The sequence below is a fragment of the Homo sapiens genome, chromosome 1 (assembly GCF_000001405.40).
Source record: "Homo sapiens chromosome 1, GRCh38.p14 Primary Assembly".
Lineage (NCBI taxonomy): Eukaryota > Metazoa > Chordata > Mammalia > Primates > Hominidae > Homo > Homo sapiens.
Window position 1 is genome coordinate 209686630 of NC_000001.11, and position 23172 is coordinate 209709801.

Genomic DNA, 23172 nt, shown 5'->3' on the forward strand with positions numbered 1-23172 from the left:
TGGAATTACAGAAAGACAGCAAGAATTATAGAAATGTTGTAAGCAGTTTTTAAAATCGGCTTTAAACCAATGACAGAGCACAAACACTATGCTGTATCTTGGGAAGTACTTAAATGTGCTGATACCTGCATGTTGCAGCCAAACATCAGCCAGTTTAATGTTATTAACATTTAGATCTAGAGTGTTGAAAAGGCTCATTTTATTTCCAGAAGTCTTGTTCAGTGGACCAAGGGAGGCCTAAACGTGTCCATCAAAATTCTTCATGTGCTATTCATCTATCCTTTAATCCTAGTCCAGCTGGGCTGCTCAGAATACTGACCCTCTGAGCCCTAAACGGGCCTTTTCAGAGAAAATCCCAACACTTGTTTCAGGTCAAGGAACTAGAGAAACCTGACAGGAAAGGGAAATACCATTCCCCACCCTCACCATTTACCCAAACCTTCACTTGCCATCAATAGACCATATCATCCAGAGGGTTGTGGCTTAGTGATCCACTCACTTTGGAGAGATTAAAATAGCTGGATGCATGCTTCAGAAAACATCTACAGACGACGATGATGTGTTTTCACAACAGTTGGCTTTTAAGAGTCCAACTCCTCTGACTTTTCCAACAGAGCTTACCAGTATCAGAGGGACACAATTGAAGTGTTTCCTTCAGAGCCAGTGTTTCTCTTTGGGGTTTGTGTGAGTTCATCAGAGTCGGAAGCTGAAAGGAGGGTGGGAAAGGTAAGGAGAGATGAAACAATCTCACTTCTGCTGGCTTGCCAAGGTTTGAAAGGAACTGCCTCCCTGTCATTAGGATGATATGAAAATAAAATCTGAAAATCCTAGCTCTTTCTTTATACTAATTTGAGTACAGCTAAAAGTTCTCTGTGTCCAATTTCTGAGCTAGAACAAATATTAAAGGTAATCTAATTTATTTCTCCTTGTTTGCCAGATGAGGGAATTGAAGCCAAGACAAGGGAAGGGCCTTGCCCAAAGTCACATGTATTGTCAGTGATGGGAGGGAGACTGGAACTCAGTTCTCCCAGAGTCCCACCCAGGAGCCTTTTAAGAAATCATGAAAACTTTACAAGAAGGTACCCCAGATGTCCGAGAGCTCATAAACACCGCAGCTGCTGACTAAATACAACATTCAGTTAAAAGATGCTCAAGTAATCTTTCCCTGGCAGAAATAGAAAGAAGAAAAAGATTTCCCCAATAGTTTAGTTTTTCCAGAATCTGTTTTATAACTGTTAGGAGACTAGGGAGGAGAAAGATTTGAGGCAGATTTGTCATGAGAGAACTAGAATATTTTACATTCCTACCATTGATCAGCATTTTACATGTCTCATTTCTTTATGTAATCTTCATATTATCCTCATTTTACAAATAACATTGTTTTAACTTTGCTCAAATGCACAGAGGGAATAAGATATTATGATTTCTGGAGCTCTTGTTGGTAAGCCCAGGATCAGGCTCTGGAGAGACATGGCTAGTTCAGTGACTGTTCCAGCCTTACTCAGGCCCCTCCCCAACACAGACCCTTGCTCTAGCCATTCAGGCTACCTGAGTTGCCTCCAAAATGCCATGCTTTCTAGACTTCTTGCCTGAATACATGCAGTTACCTCTGCTTGGGATGCCTTTCTCCAACATCCTCATAACTTGTACTTAGCCTTCAAAACTGAGCTCCAGGACCACCTCCCAGAGCCCTTTCCTGCTGCCATGGCCTGTCCCTTCTCTACTTCAACAGCCCTCTACACACATTCCTATTATAGTATACATCACGCTATGGTGAGCTCTGACTTACTTGCCAACTTTCCTTGTGCTTGACTTCAAACTCCTTGAAAGCAGACACCACATATTAGTGAGGCTTTGTATTCCCAGCGCCTAGCACAATTCCAGAGATGTATTAGTGCTCAGTAAGTATTTTTTTAAATGGACGAACAAATGGAATATTTCCCCTCCTTTTCTTCGAATAAAACCATGCAATAAAAAGTCTTGTTTCCATGCTCTTGACTCTTCAGTAACTTGGGGGTAAGTAGAAGATATCACTACTATAAGCTTCCTCTCCTTTCAAGCCTGACAAGCCACTCAGAAATAGCTATCTAGGGTTAAACTTGGCACTCTGAACAGACATTAATTTCTGCATCCTGACAAAATGCTTTGATGACAGTAGAAGAATTTATATGCCATAAGCCACAAGGACAAAAAGACTGGGAACATGGGAACAACAGAGATAACAACAGTTAAGGAATGTCAACACTCTTGGAAGATGGAAAGTGGATGGATGAGTAATAAGTGACTTAGCAAACCCAAGACTGCTGGAGTCTGAGTGCTCATGATGGGAAGCCTCAGGAGTTGGAGGAACAGGTGGGGGTAAACATAGCAGAAGACCCTTGGCCTCTACAGCTACTCCAGCTGGAGAAGGAAAGTTTATTTTCTGGAGAAACTTAACAAAGACACACCAGGCTCTGGGACATCAGACACAGCAGAGGGTGGGGTTAGGCATGGAGCTGGAAATAGCGAGATTAGAGAAAGACTCCATACTGAAAGATGAGATTCCCCAGCCCATTTTACTGGCTCAGCTCCCAGAACACAAACAGCCTAGCTCTACCCCTCTCCACCCACCCTACCCCAGCTTACACTAAGCAGAAGAATTAAGGATTCTTCCCTGTAGAAAGGACTCAACCAAAGAGACAAACACTACAGACATTGATGTGTGGTTCCTCCAATGAAACCGCCAGGGGCCTTCTGGATTATCCTACAGTGAAGTCCAAAAATTGACAAGCCCTGCCCTCACACACAAAGCTTCCAACAGCCAAGGAAGAGACTACAAAGATCACCAGGTGATATAGTTTGGATATTTGTCCCCTCCAAGTTGCATGTTGAAATTTAATCCCCAAGGTTGGAAGTGGGGCCTGATGTGAGGTGTTTGAGTCGTGGGGGTGAATCCCTCATGAATGACTTGGTGCCATGCTCATAGTAATGAGTGAATTCTTACTCTATGAGTTCCTGCAAGAACTGGTTGTTCAAAGAGCTTGGCCCCTCCCACCCCTCTCTTGCCATGTGATGTCTGCTCCTCTTGGACTTCTGCCATGAGTGGAAGCAGTCTAAGGCCCTCACCAGGTGGAGATGTCGGCACCGTGCTTCTTCTGCAGGCTGCAAAACCATAAGCCAAACAGAACCCTTTTCTTTAAAAACTACTCAGCTTCAGGGGTTCCTTTACAGTAACACAAACAGACTAAGACACCGGGCATGGGACAAAAGCCTTAGATACTGGAGACCTCAAGAGAGGAAATCTAGAAAGCCAAAGAAATAATTATCAGTAACGGCCACAGCAACATCAATATCCCCCAGAGATAAGGGAAGATATTTCATGAATTATGATCAAGAAGCCAATTTTTGGCTGAAAATAAACTTTCCTTCTCCAGCAGTGTCTCATGCCTATAATCCCAGCAGTTTGGAAGACTGAAGTGGGAGGATCACCTGAACCCAGGAGTTCAAGACCAGCCAGGGCAACATAGAGAGACCCCAGTCTCTACAAATAAAAAAATTAGCAGAGCGTAGTGGTGCATGCCAAGCTACTTAGGAGGCTGACATGAGAGGATTGCTTGCACATAGGAGGTTGAGGCTGCAATAAGCTGTGATGGCGCCACTGCGCTCCAGCCTGGGCAACAGAGTGAGACCCTGTCTCAAAAAATAATAATAATAAGATAAAATAAAGAACCAATTTTTAAGTATGGAGAAGAAAAAAGAGCTCTTTAAATGAAAGCGCAATTGGACATTTAAAAATTAAAATGAAGGGCCAGGAGCGGTGGCTCATGCCTGTAATCCCAGCAATTTGGGAGGCCAAGGTGAGCGGATCACCTGAGGTCAGGAGTTCAAGACCAACCTGGCCAACATAGTGAAACCCCATCTCTACTAAAAATACAAAAATTAGCCGAGCATGGTGGTGCATACCTGTAATCCCATCTACTCAGGAGGCTGAGGCAGGAGAACCGCTTGAACCCGGAAGGCAGAGGTTGCAGGGAGCCAAGATCGCGCCATTGCACTCCAGCCTGAGCGACAAGAGTGGAATTCTGTCTCAAAAAATTAATTAATTAATTAAAATTAAACTTAAGCATTGGAAGATAAAATTGAGGAAATCTCCCAGAAAATAGGATGAAATGGAAAGAGATTAAAAAAATAAGACATAGAAAGATAAGAAACTTAAAAGATCAGCTCAGGAGCTCTAATATCTTCTATTAAGAAGTCCAAAAAGAAAGCACAGAGCAAATGAAAGAGAATAAAATACTCAAAAAAATTTCTCTAAAATTTACCAAAATACAAGATTTGAATTTCCATATTCAGTGGACCCAGTGGGTGCCCAACACAATGAACCACAAAAACAAAACTCATCAAAGAATATTATTGGAAATGTTAGAACCCCAGGAATAAAAGGACCCCAAAAGTCCTGGAGAAAGAAAAATAGTTCACAAACCAAGGGTCAGAAATCTGAACAGCAGTTGGACCTCTCAGTGTCAACACTGGAAGCTAGAAACTGAAAGGCAAGACAGCAACATCTTCCAATTCTCAGAGAAAACTTACCTAGAAATCCTTACCCGGCCAAAAAACAATCAAGGAGAAGGTAATACAAGGACAAGCGGATGGGGCTGACCAGAACTGTCACACTGTCCTTTATTTGGCCGGGGTCAGATGGATTAATGCCCTCTTAAAGATGTTAAAAATGTGAAACATCACTCCTGCATACAAGGTCTCAAAACATTTCCTTATCATACATGAGGAAGTAAATCAAGAAAGAGAAAAACGGGAGTTCCCATTCCCAAAGGAAAGTCCCCAGATTCAGGGAACAGGAGGACTAAAGTCTTCAGTAAAATGTCTCCAAGAAAAAAATAAAGGAGCTCATAGATTACTCAATTAATTTGACCTATTTATTTGAATTTTATATCTCTTGTCAGAGGGTTTGAAGGACCTGTACAACTAAGAAAGCAAACAAATCAAAATGAAGTGATTATTAACTCCCAGGAATTCAATGAAGACTAGAAGAAAAGAAATGCATCATAGTATACTATATTGTTCAGCTGTAAACAATTAATCATAATAATACAAACACTATTGATTTAATTAAAATTGTGTTATTATAATATTAGGAATCTAGAAAAAAGGGAATGGGTGTTTGTGTGTTGTAAAAACGCAAAATCCCAGTATTCCTTAGCAGGAAATGAATAAGTAATTTCCAAAATTGCAAAATCAAATAGCAGTAAAAGCACATCGTTTACAAATGTGGAGTTGGTTTTCAGGGGAAAATAAATTAAGATTTAAAAGCGATTTGCCTGTCAGTGGGACCAGGGCTGAGAAAGGAAAGAGCAAGGATTGTTGTCACTAGTTGTAAACCTTTTGTACTAGGTGACTTTTTAAGCCCTCCTCATGTATTATATTAATAAATGTAAAAACTAGTTTATTTAAAAAAAAAAAAAAAGGAAATGGCTCAGTTATAACACAGCAGTCTCCCAGGGAATACATTCTACCAACCAGTCAGCATGTTGATGTCTGGAGCCATTAAGTCTCTAACAAGCTAAAGTTAAAAGTATTTACCTAATTACCCAAAGTAGAAGTTCGGACCGGTATGTCTACAGGTTACTTTAGAATCACCTGGGGACTGTCAAAGAAAACCAGAGCTAGAGAGCAGTTAAAGTGGTAAAAACAGGTTTTAATCGGGACTATTGCAATGGAGGAAAAGAGATCTCAGTAAAGAACTGGACTCAATTCCAAATACACCATGGGAAGTGAGTGATAATTTACACTCAAAGAGCAGGATGGTGACTGGTGGATGGAAAATTTCTAAGAGGAAACATCAAGGTTGGGGTAAGGAGGGTTCTGGCTGAAAGGAAACAGGATTATTTCTGAAGACAGGCCAGGGTGGTCAGGCACCCCCTGGGGGATGATGGCAAATGAAAAAACCAATTAGAGATCAAGGAATCGGGTATTAAAATGGCGGGGGGGGGGGTGGGGGCTCGGTTCTTGCTAAATTGACTTAGCAGGATTCTTTGTAAAACTGGATTTTACAAGGAAGTGCCCAGATGGGCCTAGAAGGTTCAGGAGCCTGACTAAAGTTTGGCCAGAAAAATCTTTGTCAGGAACTTTGCAAAAAATCCAGATTCCTAGGTCCCACCCTTAATAAGCCAGACTCAACAGGATTTGGTGGGGTCTAAGGATCTGCCCTTAGTTCCCCCAGATGATTCATGGAGGTTTGGGAATCACTGGACTAGAGTGGAAATCAGGAGTGTGTGTTAGGAGGAGCAAGGGAATCAGTTTACATGTATTTTATGTGTGTGTAACTATTTCTGTATATTTAAGTCTCTCTCCCTCCCTCCTTCATTCTCTTTTATTTTCAGTTAACCCATAAATCCCTCTGGACTGCTGACGGCATTGCCAGAAATTAAGTAGCCATCCGAGCTGTCTCTCCCACTCCTGGGGCTCCCTCTGCTGGCAGAAGCATGTTAAAATTCTTAGCATCCTAAATCTAGAAATTCTCGTTCAGTTCCCTATTAGGTCAGTTTTTTGAGACTGTTGCCAAACCCTCAAATTTCATGAATCCTCCCATCAGATATAAAATACAAAGTGAAGCCTGGGAAAACTTTCTTGCCTTAAATTTGTGAATATATAAAGATTAGGAGGGAGCAGGACAAGGCAGAAATGAAAATGAAAGGTATATGCTGTGGTCAATACTGAGGAAGAGGAGACATTTGAGAATTTAAGTTCCCACCTTCTTCTTCCTGGCCCTCCCCCAGGAGATATGAATAGATGGGGAAGCTGCATGTAGCTGCTTTCCAAAAAATGCAAAGAAGGAAACAAGTTAGACTAAAAAGCTCACTGAATTTGGAAGCAGAAGGCAAGGATTCAATATCCACCCGTCCTCTACTTCCTCGATTCTCAAAAGAAGTGGTCTCCTTTTCCAGAGCCATGTGCCATATCATCTGGAGTATGACTCCATAAATCATATCCTTCCAGTGATCTTGTTTTTAGATTCTACTGGATCTTTCCCACAAACAGAAAGGATGCTCAGCCCAGCACACTGTCTGGCACAAATGCTCAATGCATTTGAGCATTTGAATGAAAGTTTAACTCATTTCTATCCCCCAAATCAAAACCCTCTTTCAGATCTCCATGCTTCTCAAGTGCCTCAAAATTGTGGACCAGTAAACATTGCATTCCCTCAGGTACTTCACTCTTCAACTCACAGCATTTCCACTTTAGCTCCTCTGGAACTCTCAGGCAAAGATCTCCAATGATTCCTTTATGCCAGACCCCCTGTATTCTTGGCACTTCTCACCTTCCTTGACCTCTCCCATCTCACTGAGACCTGTTCCCTTGGGTTCTGTGCTCTCTGTCCTCCTGCTCCCAGCTCACCGTTGTTCTCCTTTGCTGGCCCTCCCCTTCCGCCCAACCCTCAAACATGAGTGTAAGATTTCCCTCTTAGCCTTCACTCTGTCCCTGGTGGCTTCATCTACTCCTATGGTTGCAACATTAACTTCCATGATTTAATTCTCCCAATTCTATATCTTTAACCTGGACCTTTCTTCTGAGTTCCAAATACCTACCAGACATCTGTATCTGGATGTATAAGAATCAGTTCATCCATTACACACTCAAAAAATGCTTACTGAGCACCTACCCTGTGCCAAGCACCGTACTAACTCTGGAGATGCAGGGGCAAGCAAGGTGGAAATGGTCTCTGCCTTCCCAGAACTATCTAATGGGAAAGGCAGACAGTGAATGGCTAGGAGTAAAAAGTGATGAGTGCAATGATTAGAGAAATGCCTAGGGTTCAGAGAGCACTTTTTCTGGTCCCCAGCATTCCCTGAAGGTGTGACTTTGAAGAGCAGTACCTGAATGATAAGGAATTGGGGCAAGGGGAGGTTCCTGGGGAAGAATTTCAAAAATAATGAAGAACTTGTAAAGCTGTAATAGGTAGTTTGGACTTTATCCTAAAGACAATAAGGAGCCACTGAATCTTCTGAAGCAGAGAAATGTGCTGATCAGTTGTGGTGTGAAGAACTGGATGGATTAGAGCCCAAGGGGAACTTCACAGTGCTGGGATATTCATGTCTTAAGTTGGATGGTGAGCCATGAGGCTTTTGTTTCATACTTATGCTTTATACGTTATTCATGTTTTCCTATATTCTTTTGTGAATACCAAATATTTCACAAGCTTGTTTTAAAAATTAATAGATTGGGGAAGGTGAGGTGGCCAGAGAAATGTGAGGAGGTCACTAAAGCAGAAAACAGTGGTGGCCTGAGTTAGGATATGGCCTGGCTCTGTGTCCCCATCCAAATCTCATCTCAAATTGTAATCCCCAGGTGTTGAGGAGGGAAGGACCTGGTGGGAGGTGACTGGATTATGGGGGTTCCCCCATAATCTCATCTGTTCTCATGATAGTGAGTGAGTTCTCATGAGATGTGATGGTTTAAAAGTGTTTGGCTGTTCCCCCCTTTGCTCTGTCTCTCTCCTGCCACCATGTAAGATGTGCCTTGCTTCCCCTTAGCCTTCCACCATGATTGTAAGTTTCCTGAAGCCTCCCTGGCCATGCAGAACTATGAGTCAATTAAACTTCTTTTTTTATATAAATTACCCAGTCTCAGGTATATCTTCATAGCAGTGTGAAAGTGGACTAACACAGATGGTCACAAAGGGTGAAGATTTGGAGATGGTTCTAGAGATACTTAGGAGGTAGAATCGACTGTACTTGGTGATTAATGGAATATGGAGAGGGAGGAATAAAGAACTCCTAAGTTTCTGGATTACTAATTAGACGGATGGTGAAGCCATTGATTGAAATAGAGATCAATGGGAAATGGTGAGTAAAAATAACAGTCATTGGAGAACAGTTTGGCAGTTTCTTAAAAAGTTAAACATGGCTGGGTGCGGTGGCTCACACCTGTAATCCCAGCACTTCAGGAGGCTGAGGCAGGCAGATCATGAGGTCAAGAGATCGAACCATCCTGGCCAACATAGTGAAACCCTGTCTCTAATAAAAATACAAAAATTAGCTGGGTGTGGTGGTGCACCCTGTAGTCCCAGCTACTCAGGAGGCTGAGGCAGGAGAATCGCTTGAACCTGGGAGGTGGAGGTTGTGGTGAGCCAAGATCATGCCACTGCACTCCAGCCTGGCCACAGAGTGAGACTCCGTCTCAAAAAAATAAAAAAAAGTTAAACATAAATTTACCATATGACCCAGCAATGCCACTCTTGGGCATGTACCCAAGAGAAATAAAAACATACGTTCACACAAAAATTTTCATACCAATGTTCATTGCAGCACTGTCCATAATAGCAAAAAACAGGGGAAAATTCCAAATGTCTGTGAACTGGTGAATGGATCAACAAAATGTGGTACATCCATACAATGGAATATGATTTGTCAATAAATGACACATGTTACAATACGGAAGAATCTCAAAAACATGTTAAGTGAAAGAAGTCAGACAAAAGATTACACGTTGTGTAGTTCTACTAATATAAAATGTCCAGGGCAGGCAAGTCTATACATGGAAATAAAATTACTGGTTGCCTGGGGCTGGGGGTGGAAACAGGGAGTGACTGTAAATGGGCACAAGAAATCTTTTTGGGAGATGGAAATGTTCTAAATTAGATTGCAGTAATGATTTCTCAACTCTGCAAATTTATTCAAAATCATTGAATTGTACACTTAAAATGAGATAATTTGCTAGTATATAAATTGCACTGCAATAAAGCCGTTAAAAAATAATCATGTCAGTTTCAGCATGATGAATTTGAGATGTTTAGGAGGCCCTCAGAAGGAGAGGGTTTGGGTAAGCAGGTGGTTATACTACCTGAAGCTTAGGAGAAATTGCTGCACAGGAAATAGAGACTTTTAAGACTCATCCATCAACACAAAGGTTGTAATTATAACCATGAGAGAGAAGGGAATTACGCAGGGAATACAGACAAAAAATGAGAACCGAATCAAGGCCAACTCCAACATTCAAGGAATCCAGAAGAAAAGATAAGCCTATAAAGAAAACTGAGAAGCAGTGAGAGAAACAGAAAGAAAAGCCTGGTGACTATGAATTGACAGAAGCCAAGGGAGGAGGATATTTGGGGAGGTTAAAGTGGCAAGTGATACTTAATGAGAAGGATCAAAGAGAAAAAAAGCATGGTAGAAAAATCCAGCTGGTTATAGGGCAGCCCAATAACATTGCTGGGCATAGCTCCAGGGGCTGCAAGCCCTCAGGGTCAAGGCCATACCCAGCACAGCCTGGCAGGAAGAGTGAAGTGCTGATGGAGGGTGTGAAGCTGGATTGAAGAGCTGAAAGAGTGCAGAAGATTCAGAATTTTTTGCATAAGGCAATGAGGGGATACAAAGAGCCAGGGGATAGAGTTCTGGGATGGGGATGAAGAAGCCACAGAGGGCAAAGCCTTCATGACTTGAGAACAAATGGCCAGAACTACAGACTCCAACAGTGGGCATTCATGGCCCTCAAAGATGTGCCTCTGCTTGCCTCTCCAGGCTTCTTACTGTGTAACCCCACCTTGTAAAATTCAGTTATCCAGCCACATGGAACTGTTCATAGTTTCCCAAACATGACTTTCTCTTTCACACCTCTTTCTATTTTCCCACACAGCTTCCTGTGCAAAGAATGTTCTACAAACTAGCCCTCCCCTCTCCCCACACACTCCTGAACCCAACTCAATGCTCACTGTTATCATTCTTCATTTCCTGGAACATTCCTGCTCATATTTCAACATGGATCAAAATGAACAACTTCCTGGAAGCAGCTCCTGCTGGCCCGTCCCACATGTAGAATGGGCTACTCCCTTCATTATGCCCCTACTGTAGACTTCCATTAGCGCACTGGTAATGTCTTACACATTTCATTTATTTCCACGTCTTCTTCTTCTAGGGCATGGAGAGCATTTCAATGGTGTTTTTATTCATAGTACCTGACCAACAGTAAATACCTAACTAAATAAATGTTAGTAGATGATTCCTCCACCCAGCTACCATGTGGTATGTACCTCTTTTGCCTTTTTGGGCTGTTTGTGGCCAGGATGCTGGGCTCCACTTTGGTAAAGGTAGACCAGATGGCTATCAGTAGGCATGGTCCAGAATGTTTTGTCCACACCTGAGACCATTTCTCAGGTTCTTAAAGCCCACTGCCACTTCTAAGCTTTTCAAATTAAACACAGTTCACCCAGTTAAATCCAAATTTCAGATAAACAATGAATGATTAATGGTTTTGTTTTTTCCTTTTTTTTTTTTTTTTTTTTTTTTTTTTTTGAGATGAGGGTCTTGCTATGTTTCCCAAGCTGATCTCAAACTCCTAGCCACAAGTGATCCTCTCTTTGGCCTCCCCAGTGGCTGGGATTACAGCCAAGAGCCACCAAACCTGGCTTGAATCATGTTTTAGTGTAAGTATGTTCCTTTCAAGACATCTTTCCTTCAATAGTTTAGGAATATTTCTTTCAACAGTTTATCCCATCTTGATAGGTAGACAGCTTAGATAGAGGATAGGTAGATAAGATAGATAGATTAGATAGATAGATAGATAGATAGATAGATAGATAGATAGATAGATAGATAGGAAGGACAGACAGACAGGCATCCTTAAAATAACTATTTGTCATTTATCTGAAATTCAGATTTAACTGTATTTGTCATTTATCTGAAATTCAGATTTAACTGGGCATTCTGTATTTCTATTTGCTAAATCTGGCAACCCTATGTCCCACCAGGGGCAAGTGACTTCCTTCTAATGCTGACATCCCTGGAACCTTGAGATGCCCACCTGGCTGGGGCTGTGGTGTCACCCTAGCGTGCTTCCTGAAAGTTGGGCTGGCCAACCAAGAAAAAACACAAGATGGGCCAAAGCCCTGTGGTGGTCATGCTGAGGTCAGTCCTCTCAGCTGTGTGGGGCTCTCCCACTGCTCCCCATGCTGCCAATGTTTCAACAGACCTTCCATTGAATAACTTTGTTTAGTTCTTACATGGCCCCCTCTCTCTTCTATGCTCAGATGTGAATCCACAGGAGCTAGGCAAGAGAGAAAACCTGAAAAACTACAACTACAACATGCTTAGAACTGTCTACTTAGATCATGCCCTTAAAACATAAAAACAACAGAATTTTTTTGATTATAAAAAGAACTCTTTGCATCTCCATCTCCACTGGGGGCAGGGATCAGACCATGCTCGTGACCTCGTGAGGGTCTCTTCTTTCCTAGAAGGCCCTTGGCTCTCCCAGGCAAATAGATTCCAGGTATTCTACCCTCTCAGTCCCCTACCACAAGCTACACGTGCCAGGCAGTAACAGGAAAGCACACAGAGGGCAATTTATCCCATGCCTACTTCATTCTCCCAGATCCACGATTCCGTTAGCTAAAAAATAGAATAAATCTGTCCATTGAGATTGACATGAAGGATTGACAAATGAGAACTTCTCCCCTCGTTAGACACACACATGAGGGAGGAGAACAGGAGGAAGGGAAGGAGGAGGGAGTCTGTTACTGGACAAAATTGCATGAAATGATAGTTCTTTCTATAGACAGGAAAAGATCTTGGCAGCTGTGAGTTCTGAGGAACTGGGGTGAGAATGGGGGTGGGGGTGGCAAGAAAGGGAGAATCTTATGCGTTATTGTATTAGTTCATTTTCACACTGCTGATAAAGACATACCTGAAACTGGGAACAAAAGAGGTTTAGCTGGATTACAGTTCCACTTGGCTGGGGAGGCCTCAGAATCATGGTGGTAGCCACAAGGCACTTCTTACATGGCAGCAGTAAGAGTAAAATGAGAAAGAAGCAAAAGCAGAAACCCCTGATAAACCCATCAGATCAAGAGAGTAGCAGGGGAAAGACTGGCCCCCATGATTCAATTACCTCCCCCAGGTACCTCCCCCAACACGTGGGAATTCTGGGAGACACAATTCAAGCTGAGATTTGGGTAAGGACACAGTCAAACCATATCATTCCACCCCTGGCCCCTCCAAATCTCATGTCCTCACATTTCAAAACCAATCATGCCTTCCCAACAGTCCCCCAAAGTTTTAACTCATTTCAGCATTAACCCAAAAGTCCACAGTCTAAAAGTCTCATCGGAGACAAGGCAAGTCCCTTCCGCCTATCAGCCTGTAAAATCAAAAGCAAGCTAGTTACTTCTTAGATACAATAGGGGTACAGGTATTGGGTAAATACAGCCATTCCAAATGGGAGAAATTGGCCAAAACAAAGGGGTTACAGGGCCCATGCAAGTCTAAAATCCAAAGGGGCAGTCAAACTTTAAAGCTCCAAAATGATCTCCTTTGAATCCAGGTTACACTGATGCAAAAGGTGGGTTCCCATGGTCTTGGGCAGATCTGCCCCTGTGGCTTTGCAGGGTACAGCCTCCATCCTGGCTGCTTTCATGGGCTGGTATTGAGTGTCTGCGGCTTTCCAAGCAGATGGCACAAACTGCCAGTGGATCTACCATTCTGGGGTCTGGAGGACATTGGCCTTCCTCTCACAGCTCCACTAGGCAGTGCCCCAGTAGGGACTCTGTGTTGGGTCTCCAACCCGACATTTCCCTTCCACACTGCCCTAGCAGAGGTTCTCCATGAGGGCCCTGCCCTGCAGAAAACTTTTGCTTGGGCATCCAGGCATTTCCATACATCTTCTGAAATCTAGGCAGAGGTTCCCAAACTTCAATTCTTGATTTCTGTGCACCATGTGGAAGGCTCAACACCACGCGGAAGCTTCCAAGGCTTGGGGCTTCCACCCTCTGAAGCTAAAGCCTGAGCTCTAGGCTAGCTCCTTTCAGGCTCCTTTCAGCTGGGACACAGGGCACCAAGTCCCTAGCCTGCGCATAGCACAGGGACCCTGGGCCCACCCATGAAACCACTTTTTCCTCCTAGGCTCCAGGCCTGTGATGGGAGGGGCTGCCATGAAGGTCTCTGACATGGCCTGGAGACATTTTCCTCATGGTTTTGGGGATTAACATTTGGCTCCTTGCTACGTATGCAAATTTCAGCAGCTGGCTTGAATTTCTCCTCAAAAAATGTGTTTTTCTTTTTTACATCATCAGGCTGCAAATTTTCTGAACTTTTATGCTAGTTTTCCCTTTTAACATGGAATGCTTTTAACAGAACCCAAGTCACCTCTTGAATGCTTTGCTGCTTAGAAATTTCTTCTGCCAGATACCCTAAAAAACCTCTCTCAAGTTCAAAGTTCCACAAATCTCTAGGGCAGGGGCAAATGCCAACAGTCTCTTTGCTAACACATAACAACAGTTACCTCTGCTCCAGTTCCCAACAAGTTCCTCATCTCTATCTGAGATTACCTCAGTCTGGACCTTATTGTTCATATCACTATCAGCATTTTTGTCAAAGCTATTCAACAAGCCTCTAGGAGGTTCTAAACTTTCCCACATTTTCCTGTCTTCTTCTGAGCCCTCCAAACTGTTCCAACCTCTGCCTGTTACCCAGTTCCAAAGTCACTTCCACATTTTCAGGTATCTTTTCAGCAACAGCCCACTCTACTCGTACCAATTTACCGTATTAGTTCATTTTAACACTGCTGATAAAGACATACCCGAAACCAGGATCAAAGAGAGGTTTAATTGGACTTACAGTTCCACATGGCTGGGGAGGCCTCAGAATCATGGCGGGAGGTGAAAGGCACTTCTTACATGGCAGTAGCAAGAGAAAAATGAGGAAGAAGCAAAAGTGGAAACCCCTGATAAACCCATCAGATCTCGTGAGACTTATTCACTATCAAGAGAATAGCACAGGAAAGACCAGCCTCCATGATTCAATTACCTCCCCCTGGGTCCCTCTCACAACATGTGGAAATTGTGGGAGATATAATTCAAGTTGAGATTTGGGTGGGGACACAGCCAGACCCTATCAATTCTCATGTAATGCAAAGATCCTCTCCTGTTTCAACGTTGCAGTGTTATTCTCCCAGGAAAGGCAGAACCTCTGAACACAGTGTTTACCTACTTTTTACTCTGAGGTTTGCCCAACAAGATTTCATTTTCAAATGGGAGCACTTGCTTAACAAATCTACTAAATAGTCATGAAAAGCACTACAGCTGCCACCTTCTAAATGACAGGTGTTTCTTTCATGATCAACGTTTTATGCCAAATGCAAGGAACTTCCCCTCTGGCTGCCCCTCCTCACATTTTTGCCATCTCCTATCAGTCTCCCCAGATCTGGCCCATCCTTCACAGTCCCATTCTTGTTCATTCAGCCCCTATGTTCTTCTCACTCTGTTGCTTGTGCTTGATTCCATTTATTCTGGTGAGAATGATCAAATCAGAGAGAATTCCTGGCTGGGCTCTAATACTCACCTCCAGCAGTGAAAAGCCCATTCTGTGCAGGTAGGCTCCAGGTATCTGCTGAAAGCCTGCTCTGGAATGGGAATGGTCAGTGTATTACAAAGGAGGGTGCAAGGAGTGGAGTGAACTGTTCACTGTTTTTCTATGGAACTTTAATTCAATCAGGGAATACTTGACTTGAAACAAATGCTAGCTGAAACAGTTGTATTTCATTTTGTCTTTATTATTTTTTAAAACTTTGTTGACAACCCCAGAAAGAAGATTTGGGGGATGGGATTGATCTGTTCTGACCAGAATGCTGAATCCCAGTGATTTCCCCAGATTAAACCAGGCTCCAGGAAGACAGCAATTTTCTCATTGCTGCAGTATCTCAAAAACACTAAAACAGCAAGTTTATTGAATGCCTATTTTGGAGCAAGGCTAGTGGGAAATGGAAAGAGACAAAGATGAAAAAGACATAATCTATGTCCTCCAGGAGTTTACAAGCTAATGAGAGAACCAGCCATGTAAATATGGACACAAAGTGGATTAGATGTTTATTATATAATATGGTCAAAGTGTGGTCCCCATGGGTCTCTGAGACCCTCTTGAAGGGTTGAAAGGTCAAAACTATTTTCATAATTATACTAAGACATTACCTGACTTTTCCAGAGGCTACAGGATGTATGCTAATGCCACTGCCCTGAATGCTAATGGAATGTATGCTTATGTATTCTTGAGCTTTAGAAAAAAATCCTCAGTCTTAATTTCTAATGCATAAATTGCAATAGCAATATCAATAGGTAAAACCTACACAGGCAAAAGTTCTTTGAGGTCCTTGGAAATTATTAAGAGTATACAAGGGTCCTGAGACCAAAAATTTGAGAACTGGTAAGATTTAATGCATCAACTACCATTACACAGTGTCCTTGTTTCTCATCAATGCATTTTATATAGCAATTATTTTATCTAATCCCATGAAACTCACTTTATTGGATGCTTTTGCCATATCCTTATTTTCTAGCATCGTAGCTATTAGGTCATCTAATTATTAATCTGTTTGTGTCTTTGGGTTTAAATGTGTCTTTTGAGGCCACACAATGTTGGACTTCATTTTTTAATGGAGCCAACAATCAGCAATTGTTAATGCATTTGCTTTGTGTTCTATTACTCTGCAGTTTATCTTACTCATTGTTATTTTTGCTTTCTTTAAATTTATGTTTTCTTAATGGACTTTAAAATTCTTTATTTATTTTTTATGTCAGACAATAAACATCCCTAGTCTGCCCATCTTTCTATCATTTCAACATCATCATATTTCCAAATAACTTTTCATTGTTTCCTATAATTTTACTATTAATAGTATAGGATTAAGAAAATAAACCTTATCTGGGTTCTGGCTGGCACTGCCTTCCCTCTAGGGATGAAAATGGAGTGTAGTCTGTAATATATCCTGGTATCATAAATATATTTATAAAATTATACAAATGTAGCTTGCAGTTCTAAAGGCATGTAATCTAATTTTTACTTGAATTTTATCTTTTTTCTCTTTTTGTCCTTCATAGACCTCGAGCTCTGTCTAGCCCTCAACTGTTCTCAAATCTCCATTGTTTTCTACAAGTGACCCTCACAGCTGTGGGCCTTTGTTGACAAATTGTTTCATCTCCTCTGGGTCTTAAATTATTTTCTCTTACTCTAAAGTGAAAATTTGATGAATGTTTCCAGATACTGCACTTGGAATCATAACTTAATTTCCCTTAACCTTGTGTAAATTCTGTCCCCCCACTACTCCCAACTCCTATCCCTCCTCCAAAGCACTGATACTTATTATCACATTTAAATTTTTTCCCCGCTCTACTGATAACTTACAGAATGCAGGACTGCATTGTGATGGGGTAATTTCCATGAGTTGATTGGTTGGTTTTGAGTTGAAAAACTTAACAATGATACATCTTAAATTCTTTCTTTGAGGATTATTCCTTAATGAATTCGTGCTACGGACATACTGAGGTGGTTATTTTTATATTTCCCTGATAATAAATTCTAAATTGCTAAGGGTTTCTTACCACCCTCGTCCTTTTACTGTTACTAGATCTATTTTTAGCTGGTGTGGGCGTCCCCAGCTAGTTTCACTTGCCTAATGCTAGTTCTTTTTTCTTCTACATCAGGTCGCCTCTTCCTAGCATCTTCTCCATGTTTCTTGTTGCTCTACAGCATTTACAAGACCCAGTTTAATAGTTTAGTGCCTTTTTTGTCACTCATTATTTCTTCTTTGTTCTCTGTTAAAATAATAAGTGTATGATCCATTGCACTTGCCTTAGAGTCTTGAACCAGTCTTGGATTTCCCGCCATCTGGGTTCTGGCTGGCTTGCAATTTCTCCTTTGATGTTGTAATACTTTTTCATTGAACTTGAGTGTGGGGCTTATAGAGCTTCTTTGCTTTCATTATTTTTTCCCAAAATGTGCACATTTTTTTTCTTAAGCTTATTTTGCTGTTTTGTGCTGTTATTTTTAATTGCTTCCCACTGGGTGGGGGGGTAGGGGGACTGAGAGTGAGATTTGGCTTGAGTTTGGCTCTCTTTGCTATTACTCACATTTCCCCCCAGAAGCCCTACATGCACTCCTCTCTCTCTGTCTTTGACAAATTACTTTTGAAAGATCATTGATCCCTGGCGTAAATGGTGTTAAGAGTAAGATGGACTCGGGTAGGGATGCTCAGGAATCCAGTCCTGTACAGTCATGAGCTTGGCCATCTGGAAGTCTCCTCTTGCTCAATGAAATGGAGTAAACATTGTCCATTATGAAATCCACCACACAGGCTGCCAGGGACGAATGGGATCCCACCCAAAGCCAATCGCTGCTCTGACAGGGAAATTGGCTAGCACTGCCTGAGACTACTCCAGCCTCCCCCGTCCCTGATGTCACAATTCAGAGGCTGCTGCCTGCTTAGGAGGTTGTAGAAAGCTCTGTAGGTTCTCTCTGTGTGTCCTACAGGAGTCTTCAGGCCAGCTCCCTGTCGGATGGCTTTTATGAAAAAATATCTCCTCCCCATTCTGGGGCTCTTCATGGCCTACTACTACTATTCTGCAAACGAGGAATTCAGACCAGGTAAGTACCCATGCGTCTCATTTTGGAGGAATAGGTTTAAAAAACACAGGGGTGCTTGAGTGTTCCTGAGGACCAAGATGTGTTCTTGATCCTCAAAGTTGGTGAAAATGAGGGAACCCTGAGTTAAGATGGTATTTTTGTGTCCTCCAGCTACAGGCTGTGGACAGGGGGGACTGTGTAGGAAGGGTAATCGTGTAGCCAAAATCTAGCCAAATAGGCCATGCTTTATTTGGCACCCTTAATGGAAAGCAGTTTCAAATCTTCTACAAAAATGAGAGTAATACCCAAATTCACAACTCAGCAGCTAATTGGGCTCTATGAAGAGACTGATAAGTGGGAGGCAAAAAAAAAAAAAAAAAAAACTGGAGATGATGACTACATAGAAGTGAGGGAAAATCCCTGGAATTTCTATGAACACATGTGTTTTGATTCCTTGTTAAATGTACTTTCAATTGAGCAAAATTGAAAGAGTCCAGAAATGTCTGGAACTCCAGCATTTTAGCTGAACCATGACTTTTCTGGCTTCATCCTATGATCTCTTTCCATGGAGGTTTTTAGAAATGACAGTAGGGAGGCTGTCAGCCCAAACCTCCCACTTCAGAGCATGTTTATGAAAGACCTGGCCTGTTCCCACAGTGATTTACGGAGTTTGTGACAAACTGATCTGGGCTCATAACCTTTAAGTTACAAATTGCGATAAGCATGCCTATATCCAGAGAGGGAGAAGGAATTTTGCTGCCAACTTGGGTATGGTCCTCACTTCCTTTTGGGGTTCCCCAGAGATGCTCCAAGGAAAGAAAGTGATTGTCACAGGGGCCAGCAAAGGGATCGGAAGAGAGATGGCTTATCATCTGGCGAAGATGGGAGCCCATGTGGTGGTGACAGCGAGGTCAAAAGAAACTCTACAGAAGGTGAGGGTTCTATGCTCGCAGATATGTGTACCGTCACATGCTCAGATGTGTTCTTATATATGCTCACATATACACAGAAGCTAGCATATCGCAGATCTATATACAGAGGCACATGCACACACACAGACACTTAATTTTGCACTCTCATATATAGATTCAAACACCAAAAAACCCACAGGAATATAAAAGTATGCATTTAAGCATTCATTCATGTGTGTGTGTGTAATATATTCTGCAACAGAGTCCTTGAGTTATATATGCTCACAGACATGCCTAGTCACACACATTTACACATGGAACTACAGATACATACGGATGTTTTCAAAAACTGAAATCCCAGTACCTGCTTATGAATACATATCCTCATACCCATGCAGACTCCCAGACACATGCCCTCTCATGGACTCACAAACCCAAGGATGTACAAACATTCACAAACCTAGAGCTACCCACATAGTAACCAGCATCTACACTCATAATGCCCTCAGAAATGCCTATTCACAGAAGCCATGAGCATAAATCATGAACTTAAACCCCAGCACTGGGATGATTTATCCATTTGAACCCCACCAAGTTCCAGAAAATATTTCAGACAGAGGACGATGATCATGAGGGTTATATTAGGCAACACACACACAAACATACTTACCATTTCTTACCTAAACAGGGCTGTGAGCAATCTCTCATTTAAGCCCCCCGTTACTTCAGAGACTACCCCCCAAAAATCTGCAGCTAAGACTGATGCCATTTCTGCTGTATCACTGCAGGTGGTATCCCACTGCCTGGAGCTTGGAGCAGCCTCAGCACACTACATTGCTGGCACCATGGAAGACATGACCTTCGCAGAGCAATTTGTTGCCCAAGCAGGAAAGCTCATGGGTGAGGCTGTTTCTCTTACCTCCTCCTCTGAACTTTGCCCTTGGGGTCACCAAGAGCTTTTGGGAGGAGAATGGGAAAGGTATCAACCCCAGATGATTTCTTAATATAGCCATCTCTTGCAGGAGGACTAGACATGCTCATTCTCAACCACATCACCAACACTTCTTTGAATCTTTTTCATGATGATATTCACCATGTGCGCAAAAGCATGGAAGTCAACTTCCTCAGTTACGTGGTCCTGACTGTAGCTGCCTTGCCCATGCTGAAGCAGAGCAATGGAAGCATTGTTGTCGTCTCCTCTCTGGCTGGTAAGTGGGACAGGGACATATGTGGAAGGTAGAAGAAAAAAAAAAATGCCAGGGATGATGCCAGGCTCTGAAGTAGACATAAATTTTTATCAGTTTCCATGCAGAGAAGTAATGAGGGATTGGTCAAGGTAAGTGGGCTACAAAATTCTTTTAAGTAACAGAGAAAAAGCAGTAGCTCTGAGTGCTCATTGGAAGACTGAATTGTTTTCTACAAAGTAAGGTCAAAGGGACTTGAGGGGCTGCTGGAGGTACAGCCTGTCCTGGTCCTAAGGGAGAGACCTAGTTACAATATTAACTTGAAGTTGAAATGTTCATAGTAATATTAAACAAAAGCTGATTAACAGCTTACTCATATGCATGAATGGGCAGATGTACTGATAAGAGACTTGTAGGGGGGTGATTTGTGGACTCAATGAGAGGCACGCATCCTGAGTAAAGGAGACACTGTTACAAACTAGTGACACCATAAAAAATGAAGGATTGGTCAAGGTAGATGGGCTACAAAATTCTTTTAAGTAGCAGAGAAAAAGCAGTAGTTCAGAGTGCCTATTGGAAGCCTGAATTGTTTTCTACAAAGGAAGGTTGAAGGGACTTGAGAGGCTGCTGGAGGTACAGCTTGTCCTGGTCCTAAGTGAGAGACCTAGTCACAATGGATAAAAAGGACTTTGCTTCCTCCATGACCAAAAGGTTGGTGAAGTTATGTAAATGTGAAGGTACAACTGAGAAGTTAACTGTTTTAACAACACACAGGTGTCTGATAAGTGGGCTAAGCTAAAGCTAAATAAAATGAACAACAAGAAAAAAAAAAAAGATGAACAGACCTGCCTATAGTGGGTGTATTCTCTAAAATTTGAACATGTTAACATGAAAAGATCAATTTAAACAACCAGCTGGGTAGGGAGGAAATGTGTCCAGAGAAATGGTCATGAAAAGATATCTGTGGGATCAAGAGAGGTCCCTGGTGTTCTGGATGGTGGTAGCATCAGAAGCCATCACCAGTAAAAAACCAGTGAGTTCCCAGCTTGGGACATTTCTAGGCCCATTTTTATCATAGATCCAGGAGACAAGTTCCACACATCTTTGTTGATTAGTCAGTTAGAAGGATGTGGCTGGAAAGTGCAAACACCAGGATCAAAATCCGCCATCTAAATGTTGTTCCTGGCAAAATAAAAACAAATAACCTAGAGGACTCTGTAAACTGTTAAGCACTTCACAAACATTCTTATTGAAACTAATAGCACCATCTGTATCGTAAAGAGTTCTCCTTTCTGGCCCAGGGACGGCCTGCATAGTGATTGGATAAAGGGGCAGTGTGTCTGTGCTACCCGCCAAACAGTGTGATTGATATGCATCCCGGTGCTTCCCAGACAACACACACTCCCCACCCCTCCCCAGACACAGACTCTCTCTGGGCTGGAAGAAAGGGAGAGCTTCCAGATGCATACTGAGTGGGAGGGTGCTGGGCACATCCCCAATCCATCCCAGGGCATTGGACAAAATCCTCACATCAGTCATGATGTAGGTGGCTTTAATGATTTCAGCTGATTAAATAATACATTCACTCTAGGCAAAGGATGTATTTCACCTTTGACGAATGTAACTTTCTAGAATGTACCCATGATCTAAATGTGCTCAGAAGGACTAAGAATTACTGTTGAGCCCAAGGACGTGATGAAATTCTGATAATCTCTGTTTCCCCATATCTCCTACACTTATTGAATGACACTTGGTAATTTCCATGAACTCTGGGAGGTAGGAAATCTAGCTGGATGAGTATCTTTGGTGTTTATTGCTTGTGTAGCCAAAAGATTCCAGCTTTTTTGCCTTGAAACCTGTCTATGAACTTGCAAAGTACAGACACATTGCTGTCTTGCCGCAACTGAAGAATATTCTCTGCTTTATGATGTATTCTTTTAATCAGTCAGTAAACATGTTCATTAATCCTTCCTCTTTAAAATCTAAACTCTATAAATATGGGATGCTAAACATCAAGTTGATCTTAAGGTCAGCCAAACAGTACTGGGATGGAGTTTTAATCATTTCTTCTAGGGAATACCTTAAGTTGTTTATTGAGTTTCAGTGATAAAGAATTGTTTTTTCTCCACAATGCATTTCTGGGTATTGCATTACATGGGAATACTATACTTCTAATATGTTCCTTAAAGGCTTGGTTACCTCTGTAGCATTAACAGAGACAATACTGCTGCTTCTGGGAACCTCCTTGTAGTCCACATCTATCCACTATTCACCACCTTTTCTTGGCACCTATTGAGCAAGTTTCTTGTATGTGTAACATCCCGTTACATTGATTAGCCTCCTCTCCTTCCACCACTTGCTAGTTAGGATGTAAGTTCAGCTACTGTAACGAAGACCCGAATTTACAATGGCTTAAGCAAATCTAAATTTATTTATCTCACACAAAACACCCTGGAAAGGCAGTCCAGGGCTGATATGGTAGTTCTGTCCTATGAGGCTGTCCAGGAGGCCTTCTATCTCAGAACCACCATTCCTAGAGTGCTTGTTTACACCTGCATGTCCAAGATGGCTCATTGGCATGTCTGAATTCTAACTCAAGAAAATGAAAAAAGAAGGATACCACCTGGAAGGTGTACACTTTTCTTCTGCCACAGCTGGCTGCAATTGTTATCTTTATTCAAAGGGAACATGTGTCCA

The 23172-nt window shown here is 42.1% G+C and overlaps 1 protein-coding gene and 1 long non-coding RNA gene across 5 annotated transcripts in view; one reads left to right on the forward strand and one right to left on the reverse strand.

Moving 5' to 3' along the window:
• The window catches only part of HSD11B1-AS1 (HSD11B1 antisense RNA 1), an 81204-nt gene that overhangs the window by 25271 nt on the left and 32761 nt on the right, over positions 1–23172 (reverse strand). The window lies entirely within an intron of this gene.
• Positions 1–23172, forward strand: part of HSD11B1 (hydroxysteroid 11-beta dehydrogenase 1) — a 48751-nt gene that overhangs the window by 451 nt on the left and 25128 nt on the right. Inside the window, exons 2-5 of one of the 3 annotated variants that reach the window (NM_001206741.2) lie at positions 18266–18401; positions 19182–19312; positions 20080–20191; positions 20314–20499. In NM_001206741.2, the coding sequence (NP_001193670.1) occupies positions 18314–18401; positions 19182–19312; positions 20080–20191; positions 20314–20499 (517 nt within the window). In that variant the 5' untranslated portion in view covers positions 18266–18313. Of the gene's footprint in view, positions 1–18216; positions 18402–19181; positions 19313–20079; positions 20192–20313; positions 20500–23172 lie in introns of those variants that run through there. The other 2 variants (NM_181755.3, NM_005525.4) reach the window with 2 other exon arrangements.